The sequence below is a fragment of the Homo sapiens genome, chromosome 1 (assembly GCF_000001405.40).
Source record: "Homo sapiens chromosome 1, GRCh38.p14 Primary Assembly".
In the NCBI taxonomy this organism is placed as follows: Eukaryota; Metazoa; Chordata; class Mammalia; order Primates; family Hominidae; genus Homo; species Homo sapiens.
The window spans coordinates 22,740,137-22,762,681 of record NC_000001.11 but is presented as its reverse complement, the minus strand read 5'-3'; the positions used below and the strand labels follow the sequence as shown (position 1 = coordinate 22,762,681).

The 22,545-nt window shown below is 51.0% G+C and overlaps 1 protein-coding gene across 6 annotated transcripts in view, besides 3 other annotated features; it reads right to left on the bottom strand.

Annotated features, from left to right (window-relative positions):
- Positions 1–22,545, bottom strand: part of EPHB2 (EPH receptor B2) — a 210,663-nt gene that overhangs the window by 158,819 nt on the left and 29,299 nt on the right.
- Positions 6,153–6,314: a silencer, noted in NCBI's record as "fragment chr1:23082861-23083022 (GRCh37/hg19 assembly coordinates)". NCBI's record gives its function as "represses an EF-1alpha promoter that drives an FKBP-Casp9 reporter gene in an ReSE screen in HepG2 liver carcinoma cells {active_cell/tissue: HepG2}" and the evidence as "EXISTENCE:reporter gene assay evidence [ECO:0000049][PMID:32094911]".
- Positions 8,219–8,418: an enhancer, noted in NCBI's record as "active region_355". NCBI's record gives its function as "activates an Ori minimal core promoter by ATAC-STARR-seq in GM12878 lymphoblastoid cells {active_cell/tissue: GM12878}" and the evidence as "EXISTENCE:reporter gene assay evidence [ECO:0000049][PMID:35858748]".
- Positions 12,119–12,168: an enhancer, noted in NCBI's record as "active region_354". NCBI's record gives its function as "activates an Ori minimal core promoter by ATAC-STARR-seq in GM12878 lymphoblastoid cells {active_cell/tissue: GM12878}" and the evidence as "EXISTENCE:reporter gene assay evidence [ECO:0000049][PMID:35858748]".

The window sequence follows — 22,545 nt, the reverse complement described above, 5'->3', positions numbered from 1 at the left end:
CACATCCCCTACAGGAAACTCCTAAATCATCCTCATTTCCAACTAGGTCACTGGGATTCAGTGAGGGGAAGGGGCTTCCCCAGGTCATGAAGCCAGGAAGGAGCCTTGCTGGAGACAGGAGTCTCAGAAGCCCACTCACACACCACCCCTTGGCCCCTACCAAGATCCTCACTGGACAGAGGAGGAAATGGGCCCAGAGGGGTTCCTGGCTTGCTCAAGGCACAGGGATTCAGTGAAAAGGTGGCCTGGGAACCTGGTTTCCAGGCCCCCAGAAGAGGCTACCTTCCTTTCTGCCACAGGGTGTCCCTGAGCCATTCTTAGTGGGTAGAGGTTCCAGCTGAGGGTCCTGCAGCCCTAAGGAGTGGAGGGTGTCTGGAGTCTGCCCAGCATATGGCCCCAATTCCATTTTCTCCTGTCTCTGGTGGGACACCAGCTGCTGGGAGCTGGGAAACTGGAATTGGGGGTCCCCAGCAGCCCCTGGTGCCATCAGGGACACTGCCTGCACCCTGGCCCCTTCCCATACGCCACCAGGAGACGTTCGCCTCAGATGACTCCGGGTGATGTCGGTGCCAGGCTGGGAGGAGGGGGAGGCAGGCTGGGCGTCTGCCACAGCAGGCCTCAGAGCCCCGCTCGGAATCCCAATTGAGCTATTTTTAATGTGCTTCAATTTTCATTTTCTTTTATTGGAAAACACAGATGGTGACTTGCTGCCCCCTCACACACACTGAGCAAGGCAACGACAGGCAGAGATGCGCAGCAGACACGTGGACGCCCCCCTCCCTCTGCTGGGGAGCCAGAGCTGGCAACCAAGTCCCTCGGCTGCCCTGGGCCTTGGTTTCCCCATCTGCAAAATGGGCTTTGCTGAGGCAGCCCTGAAAGCCCCTGGCAGACTGCACACACCATGAGGGTCTGGATGAGCCGGGGAGGAGGCTTCAACTGCTTCAACTGGGCATTGGCAGGGAAGGGCGTCCAGGGGAAGGGTTGCCAGGGAGAGAGAGGTCCAGGAGAGGGAAGGAGGAAGGAGAATTGTTAGCTCTAGGGAATTATCTTACTCAACACTCCCAGCTATACTTTGAGACTTTCCTATCCCCATTTTACAGACAAGGGAACGGAGGCTCAGTGCTCAGTGTCAAGTGCCCTGCCCAAGAGCGGGGTGGCTGACCCGGGTCTGTGTGGACATGGCTCCAATGCTTATTCTCACCCCTCTCCAAATAGTTCCCAGCCAGATGCTCTGTTATTTATTTTTTTCATTATAAAAGCAATACATGCTCATTAGAGACAATTTGGAAAACACAGAAAAGTCAGATGGAAGTATAAAGTACAAAATAATAATTATCTCCCCCCACGATCCCTCCCGCTCTCCGCGACCACTGCCAACATTTTGGTGTGTTCGTGCTACTCTTTGTTTTTTTGCTTCTCATAATCTGTCACACTTTGAACATCATTTGGTGGTGGCACAGGGTAGCAGCTGGCTGTGCATCACAATGGACTCAGGCACGTTTTAAAAACATCAGTCCTGGCATTCCCTGATCCCCATGAGATCAGAAGAGAATCATGGGGGCAGGCTCATAATTGGTGGCTGGGAATCTGTATTTTCCACAAGCCTCCCAGGTGATGCTGATGCTGCCAGCCTAGGAAGCCTACAGACCTGCACTTGGCAAGACCACTGGCTCTGGAGACAGCTGGCATCACCTGGCTCAACATTGGGATGGGCTGTGTGGCCTTGGTCACATGCATTCACCTCTCTGAGCTGCAGTTCCTTATCTGGAAAAATGGGATCTTCCTTTGCAGGCTCGTCGGGAGGATGAAAGAAAAAGGCCGAACAGGATCTTATACCTACCCGAGACACAGCCACCCTCCCAAGCCTGTCATCCTAAGTGATCTAAGGCCACTTTCCTGGGTGTACAGATGGGATGATGGGGAGGCCCCTGGAGCAGAGGAGAGAAATGGGTTACAGCAGCAGAGGAGTGACTCACACAGGCCTTGGGGTGTGCTCAGCTGGCCCAGCCTCTGCGGTCTCATCTCCCCGAGTTATATCACCCTCCCGGACAGGGGATCATGGCATGTGTCCTCCCTCCTGTGGCCAGGATGACATGAGGCAGACTCTGAGGAGCTCAGCTTTTCAGCTTTGGGAAGGTTGGAGAGCTGCTCCTTGAGGACAGAGGCAAGAACACCTGAAGCTGGGGAAGAGGGCACAGGTGGGGCAGGAGGTGCTTTTAGAAGCAAAACCAAAATAGATGTCATCAAGACTGCCTCTGCAGACAGGGGACAGAGTTGTCCCTGTCCTTAAAGAATCCAGGCCCCCACTACCATGCGTGGAATTGACCTTAGCCCACAGTCTTCCCCAGCCCACCCTATTTGCCAAAATTCTGCTCAGCTTTCAGGACCTGGCTACAAGGTCATTTTTGGGGTTCCCTCAGCCCCATTTTCTGTGAGCCTCCACCCCATCCTCCATGCGGGGAGATAATTATTTCTGAGTGCCCCACCTCCACCAAACTGTGGGGTCTTGGGGGGCAAGACTGAGTCAGGTTATGCTCTGTCTGAATAAGCCAAGCATGAACTTCTTTAAGTCTCAGTTTTCTCAGCTGTAAAATGGGTGACTTGTGTTATCCATCTGACGTGCCTCAGAGGTTTGGCCTCTATAGCAAATTAGAGGATGCAGGTGCCTCTTGAACCCATAGAGTGCACAAGCCTCAGGTTGACAGGCAGCGAGAATGTTGCATGGGTGGGATCCGGGGCAGGTTCTTGAGCCTCTCCACTCGCCTCCCCTGACACACATGCAGGCCTGCTGTTAGCCAGGCCCAAAATTTGGCTTTGAAGCAGTGGGTGTGGCTGTGGTGAGAGAATCCCTCCAGAGGGTGCTACAGTCATCAAGGAAGGTTAGCTGCTAATTGTCCCCCTTGTGAGGATGACACCTCCTCTAAAGTGTGTCACCGAACTCAAGGGGCTGGGGATGGGATGGTAGAAAGGGCTTTGAATTCCCTGGCCAAAGGCTCAGAGCCACCTGGTGAGGGAGGTGGCTGGGCAGAGGTGTTGGTATAGACCTAGGCACAGCTGAGCTTCCTGAAAGGCAACAGCGCAGTCCTAAACAGTTTGCAAGGCCCCTTCCCATCACTGTCAGGGACACTCAAGACACTCATCAGAGCCTCCCTGAGGGCCTACTGCAGGGTTGTACTGAGCTCAGCCGACTCCAAGAGGAATGAAATCCCACCATCCCTTGGGGCAAGACAGATAATGGGGGCAGGGTGGCAGGAATGGCCCGGGGCAAACAGACCACCATTAAGTGCAATAAAGAGTAACAGGTACTGTTGAGAAGTACCTGTTGAAGTACCTGAAGAATTGAGAAGTACACAGGGAGCACCTGAGCAGTATAAAGGAAACAGGTGAGCCTCAGTGTCCCCATTTTACAGATGAGATAACTAGGGTTCAGTGAGGCCAAGGGTTTTGCTCAAAGCCCTTGGTGATTAGTGGCTATGCTGGCCTCCAAGTCAAGCTTCATGGCAGGTGAGGAAGCGAGCTGGGAAAATAGCTGGGGAAAATGTTCCGAGAGGAAGGAGCAAGTGCAAAGACCTGAGGAGGGAGCAAATCATTATCTGATTCTGTCATTTTCTGGCGTGTTCATGAGTTAACTAGGTAACCAACCATCCATCCATCCACCCATCACCCATCATCCATCCATCCATCATTCATCTGTCCATCTATCCATCCATCCATCCATCCATCCATCATCCATCCATCCATTCATCCACCCACCCACCCACCCATCCGTCACCCATCATCCATCCAGCCAGCCATCCATTCATCCATCCATCATCCATCCACCAGGACCTGGCTGGGCCCCCAATAGGTACCAGGCTCTGTGCTGGGGAATGAGGATATGAACTGGTTCTGACAGCTAGCTCCAACCTCACTGACTATAAAATCTTGAGTGGCCCTCAGAGAGAGGTCCAGCTTGCCCCTCATACCACTGTGTCACCGAGAGGGAAACTGAGGCCTAGAAAGGTGACCTGATCATGCAGGGAAAGACCATGTGTGAGAGGTGGCACTGGGACTTGAGTCCCAGTCTCTGGGGGCAGCCAGAATCCCACCCTGGCTTTGGATCACAGCTCAGGCGTGGCACAAGGGCAGCATGGTGTCCTGCTTTGTGGCTGTCCTGGGAGCCCCAGGGAGGCAGTGCTCATGCAAATGAATGCCAGCTGCCACTGGATACCCAGACCAGGATGGACCTTGACTAAGGACTGCCTGGTGCCCTTACGACGGGCTGCCATATCATCCAACTGCCTAGGAAGCCCTCTCCTAGGAGAAGCTGTTCTCTCCTAGGAGGGACCCTCTGGGTCCCTCTACATGACCCTTCCTGACCCTATGCCTTTTCAGGCTGGGGTCCTGGACATCTGGCAGGGTGCTTTCAAATTCTCAGGGCCATCCCCCAGCTTTTGGGATCCCTACACCTAAAAGCATAACTTAGGCCGGGCGCGGTGGCTCACGCCTGTAATCCCAGCACTTTGGGAGGCCGAGGCGGGCGGATCACGAGGTCAGGAGATTGAGACCATCCTGGCTAACACGGTGAAACCCCGTCTCTACTAAAAATACAAAAAATTAGCCGGGTGTGGTAGCGGGCGCCTGTAGTCCCAGCTACTCGGGAGGCTGAGGCAGGAGAATGGCGTGAACCCGGGAGGCGGAGCTTGCAGTGAGCCGAGATCGCGCCACTGCACTCCAGCCTGGGCAACAGAGCGAGACTCCGTCTCAAAAAAAAAAAAAAAAAAAAAAAAAAAAGCATAGCTTACACATAGTGAGCATGGTCTGATTTTTTTTTGCTGGGGGGAAAGGGTCTCACTATGTCACTCAGGCTGGAGTGCAGTGGCACAATCATGGTTTGCTGCAGCCTCAACTCCCCAGGCATAAGCGATTCTCCCACTTCAGCTCCCAAGTAGCTGGGACTATAGGTGTGTGCCAGCATGCCTGGCTAATTTATTTTTATTTTTTGTAGAGACAGGGTCTTGCCATGTTACCCAGGCTGGTCTTGAACTCCCGGCTTCAAGCAATCCACCTGCCTCAGCCTCCCAAAGTGTTGAGATTATAGGCATGAGGCACCACGCCTGGTCGATTTTTAATATCTTTAGGGTAAACATTACACAGATGAGAAAATTGAGGCTCAGGATGACAAAATATGCTCAGAGTCCCATGACTGGTAAGTAAAAGAGCAAGGATTTGGATTCACACCTGTCTGACTCCAGAGTCTGCTCTTAGCTTCTCTTCTACAATGCCTGAGGCTGTCCTTCCCATCTAATCTAATTGTCTCACCTTTCAATGGCCGCCACCTTTGGGAAACCCTCCCTGACTGTCTCTACCCACCTCCCTGGAACCTGTCTGTGCCTGCCTTATCCTGGGAGCTCATCCATGTGGGGTCTCCCCAGTGAGGCTGGGGTCTCTCGGAGGGTAGGGCTCTCAGCAGAGAATGACTCAAGTATTCCAGAACCACCCAAACCCTGAGCACCCTCAGGACCCCACAAAAGCAACCCCCTATCACCCATAAACACAAAGGCCCTCTCCCACCCACCATCACCCCCTACCATTACTCTGTTTTTAAAAAAGTTTGTAAGTGAAAAAAGTATATGCTTACAAGATATTGAAACAATATAGACAGGTATAAAGTGAAAGTCAAAGCTCTTTCCCCAGAAGAAGTCACAAACTAAACATCATTTAGGCATTTTACTGCACATAAAATGTATTTATAGAGGCACAGATGCATATTTATTCCTTTCAAAGTTGCAAATGGAATCATACCCAGCATACTGTTAGTAAACTGCTTTCGTATCATAGACATCTTCTGACCCGGGTACAGAAGCTTCTAGCATGTTCTGTCTACAGCCTCCTCATATCTAAGGTTCTTGCCTGTAGCCTCTCTCTACTCACCCCTCAAGGTGTCTGTGAGGAGAAACTGAGGCAGCAGGTGCCGCCTTGTTCTGGGGCTGGCCCAGTGAGATGGGGTGGGGTTAGTTCGGGGTGGAAATGGGGTCAGCGCAGGTCCATGGGCTGGAGAGCATCCTCCAGCTCTCCCCTCTCCCACCAGGGCTGCCTCACACGCCCGCTGCCCCCGCCACTTCCCCCACACCTCATAAATCTGCAGGCGGCCAGGCCTGCTCAACCCAGACGGGACACCCTCCGGAGACTCCCAGATAAAGCCGCCCACGGGCGAAGGGAAGGACTGGGGCCCAGTCCACACCTCAGGCGGGACTCAGGGTCAGGGCCGGGTCAGGGCCCAGGACCATGAGGTCCTGGCGGTCAGTCTGACTGAAGGCTCCTTGTGCTTCTCCCAGGGGACCGTCCCAGGCCAGCCGCCCAGTGGAGCTTCCTGCCTCCCCTCCGGACCCTTCCGCTGCCCCCATCCATCCTGAAACCGCAGCCACACAGACCTTCCCCGAACACCCCCTTTATCATGTCACTCCCTACTCGTGGCCTGCCTGTCGCTCCCCAGGGCCTGTGGGAGAAAGTGCAAGCTTCTTCCCACGGAATTCCTGAGCTAGCCCCAGCCGCCCCTTCCAGCCTGATGGACCCCCAGCCCATCCCCGCCCCAGAAGCCCTCGGCTCAGCTATCGGCTCCTCTCCCTGCGTTTCCACCTCCCCACTTGTCCTGAGTCCATGTAGTGAACATCTGCGTGCCCAGGGTCAGAATGTGGCTGCATCCCCACAATGATGGGACCCTGGGTTCGTCAATGACAGTCTCAGACAAAGAACTATCTTTCTAGAGTGGTGAAATTACATAAGATGAGCCACACAAATTGCAGGCACAGTGCCTGGCCTTTCATAAGGACTAAATACATGTTAGTTTCCTTCCTTTCTTCCCTGTGACTAATAATAATAATAATAGTATGACTGGCAAACACAGTGTTTATGCCAGGCACAGTTGGAAGCATTTACATGTAGTAATTTATGAATATTTAATATCCTAAATGTTCCTTTGACATAGGCACCGTATTAGTCCCATTTTACAGATGAGGAAACCGAGGCACTTTGCAGTGAAGTAATTGCCCAAGGTCACGTGGCCATTTCAGGGCAGAGCGAGGATTCAAACCCAGTGCATCTAGCTCCCCCAGAAGCCCCTCCTAGTGAGATGGCTCCCCTCTCTGTCCTCACCATTTGTCTACTATCAAGAATTCCAAGCTCACCCTGGGAGCATGGGCCAGAAGGGCAGGGAGGAGGCAGGTAGGCCAGCAGGATGGATGGGACTTTCTGAGGCTTCTTTCTTCAGACCTCAGTGTGCCCATTTGATTTGGGGCATCCCCTCCCCTGCATCCATCTAAAAATGTTTTTTCGGTCTTTGTTTTTAAAAATAGTCAAAGTGAGCATAAACAGATTCAGGGACAGCAGGTCGGTGCAGTGACAGGAGAGGCCATCTTTCTGGCATGTCCACGCCCTCGCCAAGTCCCTTCCTGGCTCCGGACCTCAGTTTTCTCACCGGGGCCATCTGCAAGAGGATTTAGTGGCACCTGACACTGTATTCTAGGACGGCATAAACTGAGAACATTTTCCCTTTTTCAATTCTCTTCAATCCCCTGATCCCTCAAAGAGAAAGTCTCCACTGGGGCTGCTGAGACGTTAACACCTCTCCACCTCTCTGAAACACACTGGTCTTTTGCAACAAAGAGCAGGAGAGGGGGGCCTCGGGCTCAGGGCCTAGTATGGAGCTGTCTCTAGGGCACAGGCCCTTCGGCTCACCTCTCCTGCCCCTCGCCTCACCTCCCCTGCCCCTCACCTCACCTCCCCTGCCCCTCGCCTCACCTCCTCTGCCCCTCGCCTCACCTCACCTGCCCCTTGCCTCACCTCACCTGTCCCTCACCTCCCCTCCCCTGCCCCTCACCTCCCTTCCCCTGCCTCTCACCTCCCCTGTCGACCTCTCTTTTCTGCTCTGGGGCCACAAAGATGCCCAGTGCCTGCAAGAGCCTCTGCCTCCTGACACACGGCACACAGACACGTGTAGGGGAGGCAACTCCCCATGAACAGCCTTGACAAGAGAGGGCGGGTGGCAGTTCTGAGGTGTGCTCTCCATGGCCCCGTACCAGGCCTGGGGGATCGAGCCCCAGCTGCCCCAGCAGTGGTAAGCTCCACTGCACACCTCGCGCCACCTTTTCCTCCCTCCCTGGGCCCCTCTCTGGTCCCCTGAGCCCTGGTCTCAGGTGTCCTCCCTTCTGCAGAAGCCCAGCCAAAGAGTGAGCACCAGGCTGGAGCCGGACATGGTCACCCTGTCCTGCCTCTGTTGTATTTATAGTTACAGTTAACTTCTGTGGTGTCAAGAGATGCTGGTGTTTTATTTATGGCGGGATATGGACTTTCTGTCTTCATACATTTACCCAGGAAATAGAAAAGTGAGTCATTTGTAGAACAACAGTGAGAACATGGCTTGAGATGGTAGAAATTGAGACTGACAGCTGGGAACCACAAGACGGGAGGTTTCTGAGCACCTTTGAGCCACCATTTTGGTTTGGTTTGGGGACATTTCTGCTATCTCCATGGGCTGAAAGCTTCCTGGCTGCCTGTCTCACTCCTGGGGTGGCCACAGAGGGTCCAGTGTCTCTGGGGTGCCCCCTAAGGAGCCCACAGAACACTCAGGCCCAGGATTTGGGGTCCTTACAGCGGCCTGGAACCCCAGGGGATCACGAATCTAAGTGTCTTGGGCCTGTGTAAGGGTGAAGCTAAGGTTGAGTTGCAGGCTCTAAGGCCTTCCTGTCTTTTGGTGAACGAAGACTCATCCCTGCAATCCCAGCACCCTCCCGGCTTGAGGCAGAGGTTTGGGGAAGGCCCTTTCACCACATCTGGAGCTCATTACGCCGAGAAGCTGGAGAGGCGGAGGATATAAATGGGTCCAGCAAGGGTTTAGATAAATACTGGGATGATAGATCCACACCAGGTTATTGAGAGAAAGTGAAAGGATGTCCAAAGAAGATCCTTAACCTTGTCAAGCTCCCCGACAAACTGTCCCCAGGGGGCCCGTCCACTCAGCAGCCTCATCTCCTGCCTCTCCCCCACAGGCAGCCTGGGCACAGCCAAAGGAAAAGGCCCCTCCCACTCCGCACTCCACGCTTGTGCCTGTGCTGGTCTCTGCACCTAGCCAGCCCTTGCCTTCCCTTCCGACTCGGCTCATGGGAGCCTTCCCTGACCACCCAGACTGGGCTTGGTGCCTGCGCTTCCTCCATCAGGGCAGGGGACCGACTGACTTTGGATATCCACCAAAGCCACCTGACTGGACCATGACAGCCCAGTGCAGGACCCAGTGCCTCGTGATCATGTGACAAGAGGAGCCATCATTTAAGTGTCCAGCACGGGCCAGGATGTGTGCCGAGCATTTGATGTGCAGTGACTCATTTAATCCACATAACAATCTGGTAAGGGACCCCCATTTTACAGATGAGGCACCTGAAGGTCAGAGAGTGAAAGCAACTTGCCCAGGGTCACACAGCCAAGATTTGGGAAAACTGGCCTGTAAATCCAGGGTTGCCCAACTCTGGAGCTCACACTCTTTCTTCCATACCACAATGCCTAAACCAGTAGTGGGTGAAAAAGACTGTTGACTGGAAGAACAGATGGGAAACAAAATATCAGCCTGGGCCAGGTGTAGTGGTTCATGCCTGTAGTCCCAGCACTTTGGGAGGCCAAGACAGGAGGATCACTTGAGCCCAGGAGTTCAAGAGCAGCCTGGGCAACATAGTGAGATCCTGTCTCCAAAAAAAAAAAACATAGCCCAGCATGATGGCATGCACCTGTAGTCCTAGCTAATCAGGAGGCTGAGGCAGGAAGATTGCTTGAGCCCAGTAATCTGACGCTGCAGCAAGTCATGACTATACCACTGCACTCCAGCCGGGGCGACAGAGCAAGACTCCAATTCAAAACATATGTGTGTGTGCATGTGTGTGTGTGTACGTGTAAGTATAAATATATACTTTATAAATATTAAAATACATGAAAATAATATTAAAATATTAAAAATGTATTTACATGCACATATTTTTATATACAAATATATAGATCAGCCTGGATCCAACTCTGCTCAGGCCTTCTTCAGAGGCTCTTACTAAAAAGCAGGTTTTAATTCCCTTGTATGTCCTGACTACGTGGTAATTTTATATTTTATTTTATTATTTTATTTTATTTTTGTATTATTTTATTTTATTATTTTATTATTATATTTTATTATTATTCTTTCTTTGAGGCAGGGTCTCACTCTGTAACCCAGGCTGGAGTGCAATGGTGCAACCTCAACCTCCTGGGCTCAAGCCATCCTCCCACCTCAGCTTCCCAAGTAACTGGGATAACAGGTGCACACCACCATGCCCAGCTAATTTTTGTATTTTTGTAGAGATGGGTTTTCGCCGTGTTTCCCAGACTGGTCTTGAACTCCTGGGCTCAAGGAATCTGCTTGCCTTGGCCCCCCAAAGTGCTGGGATTATGGGCGTGAGCCCACCCCACCTAGTAATTTTAGAGTGTTGCACACTTTTCTGCCTACACAAGGAATAAAAACAATCATAAATAACACCTGTGAAGTAGGTCAGACATTTCCAAGAACACTCATCATGTTTAAGTTTCACAATAACCCTGCATGGTTTCACTGGACAGATGAAGAAACTGAGGCTGGGAGTGGAGAAATGACCAACCCAAGGCCACACGGAACTAGTGAACGCCCAAATCCAAAGCCTGTGACTGGTGTCACTGTGCACAGGGTGGAACTCCAGACCGAAGCCTGATTTTTAAAGAAGACAGCCCCCAACTTGGGGTATTCTCATCTCTATGATGGGGACAATGGCCCTAATTCATTCTCCGCTTCCCAGGACCCTCATGGAGAAAGCTGGTGGCCTTCATGACAAAGGAGGCAGCCCTGCAGCGAGGCAACTCCAGAAGGAGCTGACATCATTCCCGCCTTTCTGTGTGGCAGGTGATCCTCCCAGCCCACTGTCTTTGATCTTGTACATCCCCATTTCCTACCTGAGGATGGCACAGCTTGCAGGGGCTAAGCATCCTAAAGAAAGCCACATAGTGGGTATACGGCAGAACCAGGACTTGAACCCAGGGTCAGCTCGCATCTCTCAAGGCAGAGGCTGTGAAAGCTTCTGGAAAGGCGTAAAGGTAGGGAAGGTGAGCCCTGACCAGCAGGCTGAGGACAGAGCTCCCCACTCAGGCTCTGTTGAGACTTGGAAGACAAGGTAAAGACATACAACAGATGTCAGCTCAGCAGTGGCCAAAATGCTGACTTGGGCTTGGGCCTTGGGGCTCAGATCTGCCTGTTCCCAGAACAGCAGAGATAACAGGGATCCTGTTACAGCACCGGGACACTTCTGGGCAGGTGAGCACACCTCTGTGCTCCTGCCACCTGGCGCCCCATCAGTCCTGCGTGCAGGAAGCAGATGGGCGTGGGTGGCAGGTGAGCGCTCCCATCTGTCCTGGCAGCCTCCAGGCTCACTCGCTGTGTGACCTCTGCTAGGTCCCATCCCCTCTCTGTTCTTCAGAGCATCCCCCTCCACCAAATGAAGGGCTTGGACTGACCAGTGTTCTTCAAACTTCAGTAGCCCTTGAACTACTGTTAGGACTTTGGCTATTTCCACACAACCACTTGAACTCCACTTTACTTTTAAATTGGCTCACCTATTTTCATGGAAATAAATTCATCAGTAAAGGAAAAAATCAGGCTACTGCTGGAACTAGAAGAGAGCCAGCACCAATTCTGAGAATCAGAGGTAGTCTGGGGAGATGCTTAAGAGCATGGGCTCTGGGGCCTGCTGCCTGGATTCCTAGTCCTTGCTCTGACACTCTGGAGGTGTGACCCAGGCAGGTTACTCAACCTCTCTGTGTATCAGCTTACTCATCTGGAAGGTGGATAATAGCACCTGTCTCATAAAGTCGTAATGGGGATGAAATATTTGTAATATTTGCAAAGCACTTAGAAAGTGCCATTTGTATGTTTGTTAAATAAAAATATATAAGCTAAACTATTCATGATGAAAACAAGATGATGTCCTGGCATTCCAGCTCCCTAGCAGGTTCTGAGCTTGAAGTCTGCTTTTCCCAATTGAAAAGGGAGATTAGGGGCTGTCAGAGAGGTGTTAGAGACATGCTGGCAGGAAACAGAGACTTTCTCCATGAGTAATCAGCAGGCACGGAGGAGAAGGGAAGGGGAACTTTCTTACTGTGTGATTCAGCGTTATTTAATGCCATTTCCGTGTTCCCCTGGAGCCTGCTCCGTCTGACACTCATGTAAACACAGGACTAAAGCACATCAGAAGTCTGGCTCTGGTGACCCAGGACTCCAGAAAGAGAAGAGAGCAAAGCTCTGATGCCACAGAAGGGTCCGGGCCTCAGCACCCATCCCAGCCCATCTCTCCTGCTCCCCCTGCCCCTTGCCTGCTGAAAATCCTTCTACTGCCCCAGCCACTACCTTCCCTGGATTGTAGGGCTGCCCCAATATAAACTACCCCACTGCCTTTCTTTTCATAGAGAGGTGGCCCATGGGAGAAGTTGAGATAAGGATTCTGGACTTTAAATTCCACATCTGACACTTGCTTGCTGTGTGACCTTGGGCAAGTCACATCCCTGCTCTGGTCTGTTTCCTCATCTGCCAAGTAAGAATATAACTGCCTTCTTCAGGGGGCCTTGGGGGCTTATTAATGAGATAATGCAGGTTAAGGTCTTTGCACAGCTCTGAGTGCACAGCTGGCACTCAATGAATGACAGTTGTTACTATAAATAAATTCAAAATTTGAGAAGAAAGTCCTTTGTCAAACCACACGTCTTGATTAGGGTAACTTCATGTATCCCCTCCTCATCCCCATCCTTTTGTCCGTATGTCTTTCTAGGTGTTCCATGAGGGCAGGGACCAGCTGACTCATCTCAGTATCTTCAGCCCCCAGTATAGGGTCTGGAACCCAATGGAGGTCCAGCTGAGTGAGTGAATGAATGAACGAATGAATGAATGAATGGCTCCGGTAGACATAAGCCACCCTGTGGACGGGGAGGAGACAGCATCCTTCCCCTCTCCATCCTGGGCCCAATACCTTCACCTTCCTTTCCCCTTCCCTCAAAGAGGAGCCAGGAGGGACAGCTCCCCTGGCAATGGGAGCTGATGTCACATAGGATCTGTGACACAAGACAACCAAGAAACACCTGTTGTCACCCACAGAACCAAACACCTTGGTCTGAATCCTTCAATTCACTTCCAGGTTTCTGGTGGATCTTTATCATGTGCCCAGACCTGGGTGAGGCAGTGTTGGGGGTAGAGAGTTCTAGAAGAAATGCACATCCCAGTCCCTGCCCTGCATTCCTCTTTTTTTCCAGGGCACCAACATGCTGGCCAAAAGCAAAGCCAGAAAGTAAAAAGGAGGCTGGGTGTGGTGGCTCACACCCTAATCCCAGTACTTTGGGAAGCCAAGGTGGGCAGATCGCTTGAGGTCAGGAGTTCGAGACCAGCCTGGCCAACCTGGTGAAACCCTGCCTCTATTAAAAATACAAAAATGAGCTAGGCGTGGTGGCACCTGCCTGTAGTCCCAGCTACTAGGGAGGCTGAGGCATGAGGATCACTTGAACCCAGGAGGCGGAGGTTGCAGTGAGGCGAGATCCCACCACTGCACTCCAGCCTGGGCAACAGAGTGAAACTCCATCTCAAAAGAAAAAAAAAAAGCCACAAAGTAAAAAGGAAAGAATGGGACAGGCGCCGATGACCAGCAGCTCACAGACAAGAGGGCCCATGACGTGTAGCCTACCTTGTTGGTTTTCATAAAATGCGATACATTCTACTAGGTTGGTGCAAAAGTAATTCTGGTTTTTGCCATTACTTTCAAAGGCAAAAACCACAATTACTTTTGCACCAACCTAATATTATTTCTAGAAAGAATTGGAGGAAACTTTATAATTAAAATAAATTATATAATTTATTTTATTTTAATATCATATATGTGTGTGTTTATGTATGTACATATATCTCAGGACATTAGAATCAAATTTTTGTAAAAAGAGGACCCAGAGCTGGGCGCAGTGGCTCACGCCTGTAATCTCAGCACTTTGGGAGGCCGAGGTGGGCAGATCATGAGGTCAGGAGTTCGAGACCAGCCTGACCAACATGGTGAAACCCTGTCTCTACTAAAAATACAAAAATTAGCTGGGCATGATGGTGTGCACCTGTAATCCCAGCTACTCAGGAGGCTGAGGCAGGAGAATGGTGTGAACCTGGGAGGTGGAGCTTGCAGTGAGCTGAGATCACGCCACTGCACTCCAGCCTGGGCGACAGAGCAAGACTCCATCTCAAAAAAAAGAAAAAAAAAAAAAGGACCCAGAAAGCCCCCTTGAGGTAAGGGAAAGATCATTCTTCCATGAACCTAATTAGGAAACAACGTTTGCTCTGAGCTTCCCAGCAGCCAAAGTGAGACAGGAAGCAAGTTGGCAGGGTATGATGAAGGAATATTAAGAATAACAGCCAAACTTACTGAGTGCTTACTCTGTGGCAGGCATTAAGAGCTTCACGTGTGGAAACACATTGAATGTTCACAGTAACCCAGTGAAATTGATAAGATTACTTGCTCCATTTTACAGATGGGGAAACTAAGGCCAGAGAGGATTAAATAACTTGCACAAGTGGTAGCAGGAAGTTGAGCCAGGATGTGAACTAGGAAATTCAGTTCTAGAGTCATACTCGTTCTCAGCTACCATGCTATCCTGCCAGGCCCTTAAATGTGGTTCTTTACTGGCTTCACACAGCTCCACCACAGTGTGTTATTATCTTCAGGTGCTGAATGAAGTAACTGAGGCACAGAGAGGTGAAGTGACTTGCCCAAAGTCACACAGCTCATCAGTGGCTGAGTGGGGCCACCCAACTTCATTGTCCTTTTCCCCAGGCAGACCGGCTCCGCTCTACAGCACGATGGGTTCTAGAGCTCAAGCCACCAACAAATGGGTTCATTCCAGGTGAGGAGACAGGTCGCACCTGAGTCCCCAAACAGCAGAGGAACCCCGACGGCTCGCTTGCCTGCTCTCCTGCAGGCCGCCCCTGCTGGCAGAGGTCCCTGATGACTGGGGGTCTGGCAATGCCAGCTCACAGACCACATGCCACCCCAAGGTGTTTGCTTTGCTCAGCTGGGTGGGTGAGTCATCTCAGAGCCCCCCTCCCTTGCCTGTGGCTGTGCAAGGGCTTTGGCAGCTGGGATTTGAGGAATCTCAAGCCCCTCTCGATTTGCTCTACCAGGATGACAAAGAATCTCTGGAACAGCCTAGTTGGTCTGGCATCAACAGACCTTGATTTTGAGTCGGGCCTTGGGCAAGCCACTTCACCACCTGGGGGCAATGTCAAGGATTAAGTAATATAACTCCGTAAAAGCACTTATCAGAGTGCTTTGGCACAGAAAAAGGGCTTAATAAATTTCAGCCATTATTAATACAAGTAACCTTGCCTGGGCTATCTGTGGCCCACAGCTGCTGTGACCACAGTGAACAGAGGACGTGAGCCCGCCTTGCTTGGGCCCTCAGTCCGGTGACTGAACCCTGAGCAGAAGGCAGTTCTCCCTGTTTGCCTGGGTTTCTGGTAAGCAGCAGCTGATGCAGAACCCGAGTTTGGCTGTGTGATCTGGGGCCAGCCAATCTCCCTCTCTGGGCCTCAGTTTCCCCCTCTATAAAAGAAGAGGCTTGGACTGAGGGACTCTCCTGCTCTCACCACCTGTCACTTCTTCCTTTATTTCATCTGACTTTAAAACACTCCCTAGGAGGGAGGCAGGGCTGGTCCTAACCCCCTTCCAGGAATGGGGAAAGCAAGGCTAACCTAAGAGATTTGCACCCCCGGGGGGTCACAGGTCAGGAGGGTGCAGAGGGAAGTGTGTGGATGTGGCCTCAGAGCGGGGTCTGAATCCCAGCTCCCCTACACCCTCGTGGGAAGGTCATGAAGAAAACACACTTCACACCTTTGTGACCTGACTTCTGCATCCTGAAAGGTGGAGGTGAGGCCTCCCGTGCAGAAGGAGGTCAGGATTTAGAGATGTGTATTGGAGGGCCTAACATGGTCCATGGTCCACGGTCCACAGTAGGTGGTCGATCATGGAAGTTTTGTTATTCTTTGCAAAAGGCTAATTTCACCATCTCATCTCCCCCCTGCAGAACACACTGCAGTGACTTCCTGTTGCTCCAAGTGTGAAGACACACAGGGTGGGGCTCAAGGAGGAGCCCACAGGCCTCCCTGGCCTCACCCTGCCCCACTCTTCATGGAGCTCTCAGTTCCAGCCACTCTGGTTCCTTTTGACCACCAATAACTCACACTCCTACTGGATCTTTGCCCAAGATGTTCCCCAGCTTGGTGCACCCTCCCTTCCCTTTTAGCCAGGTCAACTCCCGCTCATCTTTCAGTCCATACTTATGTGTCACTTCCTCCAGGAAGCCTTCCCTGGCCTCCCTACCAGACCCAATCATTACAGCCTCTTTTGGCAGTTGTGAAAGATGCAGTTGCCCCATGTCTGTGGGCTCATTCTTTGATGACTGTCTGATCTGTTGCCAGAGGCTGCAAGGTCCATAGGGCAGGTGTCTGGTGCGATCTTTCCACGGCTGCACTCACCTCCTTCCCTGGCAAAATGCCTGGCCCAGGGCAGGGACTCAGTCATTACCAGATTTCGATCAGAGCAGTTGATCACTATGTATTTGGAGGTCTTTCTCACCAAACCTTGCTGGCATATAGAGAAGTTAAACATCCTGATCCTGCTGCGTCCCCACTGTGCAGGCTGACTGCTGAGGTGTAGAAATGGGTGGGGAGATAGGCTTTGAAAGATAAGCTGCAGATTGTCACAGAATCCAGAGCAGCGTCGGCTAGGCACACCAGCCACATCTGTGGGCAGACGCCAGGCCCCGCTGCGCTCACAGCTGCCGATCATCCAAGGCCCAGCCCGAGCCTTGCTGAATGACATCAACAAAGCCCCCCATTGCCAAGCGCCCACCGTGAGCTAGGCTGCTGCATGGATTATAATTATCTCAGCACATCCTCTCAACCCCTGTGACCACCCCCTTTCAGAGATAAAGGAAACTGAGGCTCAGACAGGTCACTTGCCCAAAGCCAAACCATTAGAAAGTGGGGAGGGATGTTTGAAGCTTTTTTTAATCGAGGTATAGCTCATATACAGTAAAGCATGCAGATCTTAAGTGTACAGCTTGATGAATGTCTCAAATGCATATACCCATGTAACTACCACTCAAAAAGTTCCTCGTGTCCTGTCCTCATCAATATCCTTCCTTCACCATAGGCAATCGCGATCCTGACTTAATTGCCATTGATTCGTTTTGCCTGGTTTTGAAGTTCCTATGAGTGAAACCAGTCGGGTATGTATTGTTTGGTGTCTGGCTTATTTTGCAAAGTGTAATGATCTTGAGATTTATCCATGATGCTGCGTGTTATCAGCAGCTTGTTGTTCTTTTTTATTCCTGCGTCATATTCCATCGTATGAATGAATACCCCACAATTTATTTGCTCATTCTTTGTTGATGGACATTTGGGTTGTTTCCAGTTTGGAGCTGTGACAGGCAAAGCTGCTGTGAACATTGTGCTCTAGTCCCTGTCTTTCAGTGAACATGTGCATTCATCTCATTTAGGTATATACAGCTGACCCTTGGATAACACCAGTTTGAACAGAGCAGGTCCACTTATGCTTGGACTTTCTTCTGCCTCTGCCACACTCGAGACAGCAAGACCAACCTCTCCTCCTCAGCCTGCTCAACGTGAAGACGAGGAGGATGACCTTTATGACAATCTACTTCCACTGAATGAATAGTGAATATGCTTTCTCTTCCTTGTGATTTTCTTTTTTTCTTTTTTTTTCTTTTTTTGAGACACAGTCTCACTCTGTCACCCAGTCTGTAGTGCTGTGGCATGATCATAGCTCACTGCAGCCTTGAACTGGCCTCAAGCGATCCTCCTGTCTCTGCCTCCCAAATAGCTGAGACTACAAGTGCATGCCACCATGCCTGGCCTATGCTTTCCTTTTTTTTTTTTTTTTTTTTTTTTTTTGAGACAATGTCTCACTCTGTCGCCCAGGCTCACTGGGCCATCATAACTCACTGCAGCCTCAAACTCCTGGGTTCAAGTGATCCTCCTGCCTGAGCCTCTCAAGTAGTTGGACTACAGGCACACACCACCATGCCCAGCTTAGAATTTTCATAATATTTTTTCTCTAGCTTACTTTATTGTAAGAATACAGTATATTATATATATATATATAACATACAAAATATATAACATATATATATATACAACATACAAAATATGTGTTAGTTGACTATGTTATCAGTAAGGCTTCTGGTCGACAGTAGGCTATTACTAGTTAAGTTTTTGGGGAGTCAAATGTTATATGTGGATTTTCAACAGTGTGAGGGGTCAGCACCCCTACCCCCACATTGTTCAAGGGTCAAATGTACTAAATAGGGAGTGGAATTACTGGGCTACGAGGTAGGCGTGTGCTCAATTTTATTAGAAACAGCTAAACTGTTTTCCACGGGGGTGGGGGGGTTATATGACTGATTTTATTCATACTCTTACCCCAATCTGTTTCTTAGGGAAATCATGATTTGGGGTGATTTTGTTATTTTGAGTATGGTGATTCATTGTGTTAATAATGAAATGTGATCTGATTCTTTTTAGTACTACTGGGTGAGTTCCATTAGAAACAAATTGGCACATCAATTATAAACTCTTTGTTAGAACTCCTACGTTGTAATTTGGGGGTTCAGATAAGAACAGCGTCATTACCTGCTGCCCCGGATGCCATATCAAGCTTCCTGACTTAGAGCTTGTGGGACCCAGTCCAGAAGCAGATGACATTACCATTTGTAGAGGTGGCCGAGGAGGCCTACTATGTGCCAGGCACTGTACTCAGAGCTTTGGGGCTATCATCTACTTTAATCCTCCCGGGCTGGGCACGGTGGCTCACACCTATAATCCCAGCACTTAGGGAGGCCAAGGTGAGGAGATCACTTGAGGCCAGGAGTTTGAGACCAGCCTGGCCAACGTGGTGAAACCCCATCTCTACAAAAGAACACAAAAATTAGTTGGGTGTGGTGGTGCGTGCCTATAATCCCAGCTACTTGGGGAGGCTGAGGCACGAGAATCACTTGAACTTGGGAGGTGGAGGTTGCAGTGAGCCAAGATCACCCCATTGCACTCCAGCCTGGGCAAGAGAGTGAGACCCTGTCTCAAAAACATAAAATTAAAAAATAAAATTAAATTTACAGAAATCCTCCCAAATGTATTATGAAGTAGTGATGACCATCCCATTTTAAAGAGGAGGAAACTGAAGCTCAGAGAGGTGAAGTGCCTCAGCCTGGGTCTCACAAGAAGTAAGCTGATCCTGGTAAGCTGTACTGGAGGTCAGCAGCCCTTCAGGTGTACGGGCGGCATCACCAAGCCCTGGGTTGCTGTGACCATTAATAGCCAATACATTCCGGAGAGCATGATGCCTAGTACAGAGTTGGCACTCAAAAAGGCTTGTTTAGGCCAGGTGTAGGGGCTCATGCTTGTACTCCCACTGTTTCAGGAGGCTGAGGTTGAAGGACCGTTTGAGCCCAGGAGTTCAAGACCAGCCTGGGCAACATAGTGAGACTCGATCTCTACTAAAAATTTAAAAATTAGCTGGGCGTGGTGGCACAAGCCTGTAGTCCCAGCTACTCAGGAGGCTGAAGTGGGAGGATCGCTTGAGCCAAGGAAGTTGAGGCTGCAGTGAGCCATGATAAGACCACTGCACTCCAACCTGAGTGACAGAGTATGAGACCCTGTCTCAGAAAAAAAAAAAAGTTCATAATAAATGAATGTCAAAGTAGAAACAGAACAAGGACCCTGAGCAAACCTGGGGGTTAAACTTCTCTGCTCAGAAAGACATCAAAGCACTTAGAAAAGAAAGTCAGTCAGGTGTCTGACTTTCCTTGGGAGGCTGAGGTGGGAGGATCACTTGAGGTCAGGAGTTTGAGACCAGCCTGGGCAACTTAGTGAGTCCCCTCTACAAAAAATAAAAAACTAGCTGGGCATGGTGGCATATACCTTTAGTCCTAGCTACTCAGGAGGCTGAGGTGGGGGGATCGCTTGAGCCCAGGAGGTCAAGGCTGCAGCAGTGAACTATGATTGCTTCTGCGAATAGCCATTGCACTCCACTCCAGCCTAAGCAACACAGTGAGACACTCGGAAGAAAGAGAGAAAGGAAGGAAGGAAGGAAGGAAGTCTGGCTGGAATGTCAGTTAGTCGATTCACCCCATTTTCCTTTTGATCTGAGTGAGGTCCAGGAGCTGGGAACCTGGACAGAGCTCCGGCTCTCAGCTTTGCCCCTGCCCCCACCCTTTCTACCAACTTTCCTCCATTATTCCTAACTGTTCCCAGCCCACCCTGAATGCAGAAGACAGGGCTCTCTATCTCCAACCTGTCTCACTCTGGGCATCCTTCTACATCAGCCAGGGCGGTCCTCATGTCAGGGACCCTATGGCTTGTCCATACCACGAGCCTGGAGCTTTGCAGACCAACACAGCCTCTGGGCTCATATGGGCCAGGAGGATGATGTGGATGGACCCTATGAGCAGGGGCCTGGGTCGGATGCTGGCTTGGACCCTGCCCACCCACCCACTCACCCAGGGGACCTCGGGCAAGCTGTTCTTTCCGAGCCTCAGATTTCCCATCTGTAGCAGGGTGAGTTCATGAGTAAAATAAAATGGTGCAGAAGAGGTGTGGGGTACCAATGAAGTACATGGGCACTGGAGACACAGAACTAGTTCAAGTCCCGACTCTACCACTTCCCCATTGGGGGCAGGTGTCTTAACCACACTGAGCTCCGGCCTTCTCATCTCTGAAACAGGGAGAAAAATAAAGCCCATCCCCGAGACAGGCATGTAAGACAACAGGCCCAGTGTGTGGGGATTTGCAGCTTCCACGCAGGTGAACTATTATTGCCCTTGTTTTCGTTATTGCACTGAGCCAGAGCCAACGTGAGAAACTGAGGTTTTTTGTTTTTTTGTTTTTTTTTGCTGGGAAGAAAACCAGGCTGTCAAGGCAAATATAACCCGCCTTCCCTGAGCTTTTAGACCTCATTCCAAACCTCCGAACAGGAGGAATAGATGGGCTACAGGGTCCTTTCACTCACTCGACACATATTTAAGTGCCTACTATGTGCCAGAGTTATTCTATGCATCAGGCAGTGAGCACCTAGGATGTAACTAAGGTAATCTGCAGGGAACCCTTATCTCCCAAAGAGAGACAGGAGGGCTTGGGATTTAGATAAGAGGGAGACTAGGGGGCGCAGGCTGGAGGAAGGCAGCCAGGTGTCGTCAGGGGAGGGAAAACAGACGGCTCCAGGAACGCGGTTTTAAGGAGTTTTACTTAGGGGGAGGATAAAGTAGAGGGGACAGACTTGTGAAGTGTCAGGTTGGGAAGACAGATCCCAGCAGCCCCATAGCGAGAGAGGAGATGTCTCCCAGGGCTGCCGCTGGGAAAGATTAGGCACTTAGATAGAATCAGAGGATAGGGGTCGGGGGGAGAGATTAAGCACTTAGATAGAATCAGAGAACAGGGGTCGGGGCAGGGGTGGTCTCCAAAGCCAGTGCCCCATAGGAAAACGGGACCTGCATCCCCCACCACAGGGGAGACCTGGGGACAGGGAGAAGGGGCAGGCAGAGGGGAGCAGGGCACATAAGCTGGATCGTCAATCCCCGCCGTCAGCAAGGAGAGGCTTGGCATCGCAGGGACGGCTCATGCTCACCACTGGACACCAAGAACTTCACACGGACCGCCCCCCAGCCAGGGGAGGAAGGTTCTGTTCTGCTCCCTATTTTACTGATGAGGAAAATGACACTCCGAAAGCTGAAGAAATGAGTACAAGGCCACCCACATCAGGAAGCAGGGAGGGGCCGGTATGATGGTGAGGGGTCTGGGGCTGAAGAAGGGTGGGGCTCTGGGAGGGATGAGACGGGCGGGGAAGGGCCGCCAGGCAGAGGGAAGAGTGGGAGTAAAGGCAGGGAGGTTTGAAAGGGTCAGGTGAGTTCCAGGAATGGCAAGACACTCAGGGTGGTGGGACACGAGGCCCTGGTGAGACCAGTGGGTCTTGCCTGGCATGGTGTCCCCCAGATGGCACTCAGAAATGCAGCTGTGGTTGTCGCAGTGATGATCAAGGCTTGAGGGCATGCTTACTCAATGCTGATGCCACAGAGGTACCATCCCAAGCCCGCCAGACCGCAGGACCCCAGGGCCACGGGTCTCACCTTTTAAGGATTGTGAGGGCACAATGACCATACTGGGTACCACTGGCATTTCATGGGCTGGAGCCAGGGGTGGAAAACACCCTGATTGGGTAGGACAGTCCCACAAAAGGAAGAATTGTCCCACCCAAAATGTGAATAGAAACCTTATTTAGAAAAAAACAGTAGATTAGACTGATCATGACACACTCCCCAAAAGAACAATATATCCCAGTGACCGCAGTTGAAGAGGGTTTCAGTGATGCCACGTGATGGGGACATCACCCAGGTGGAGAGGGCCTGGCTGCATTGGTGCCACTGAAAAAGATCTCAGGA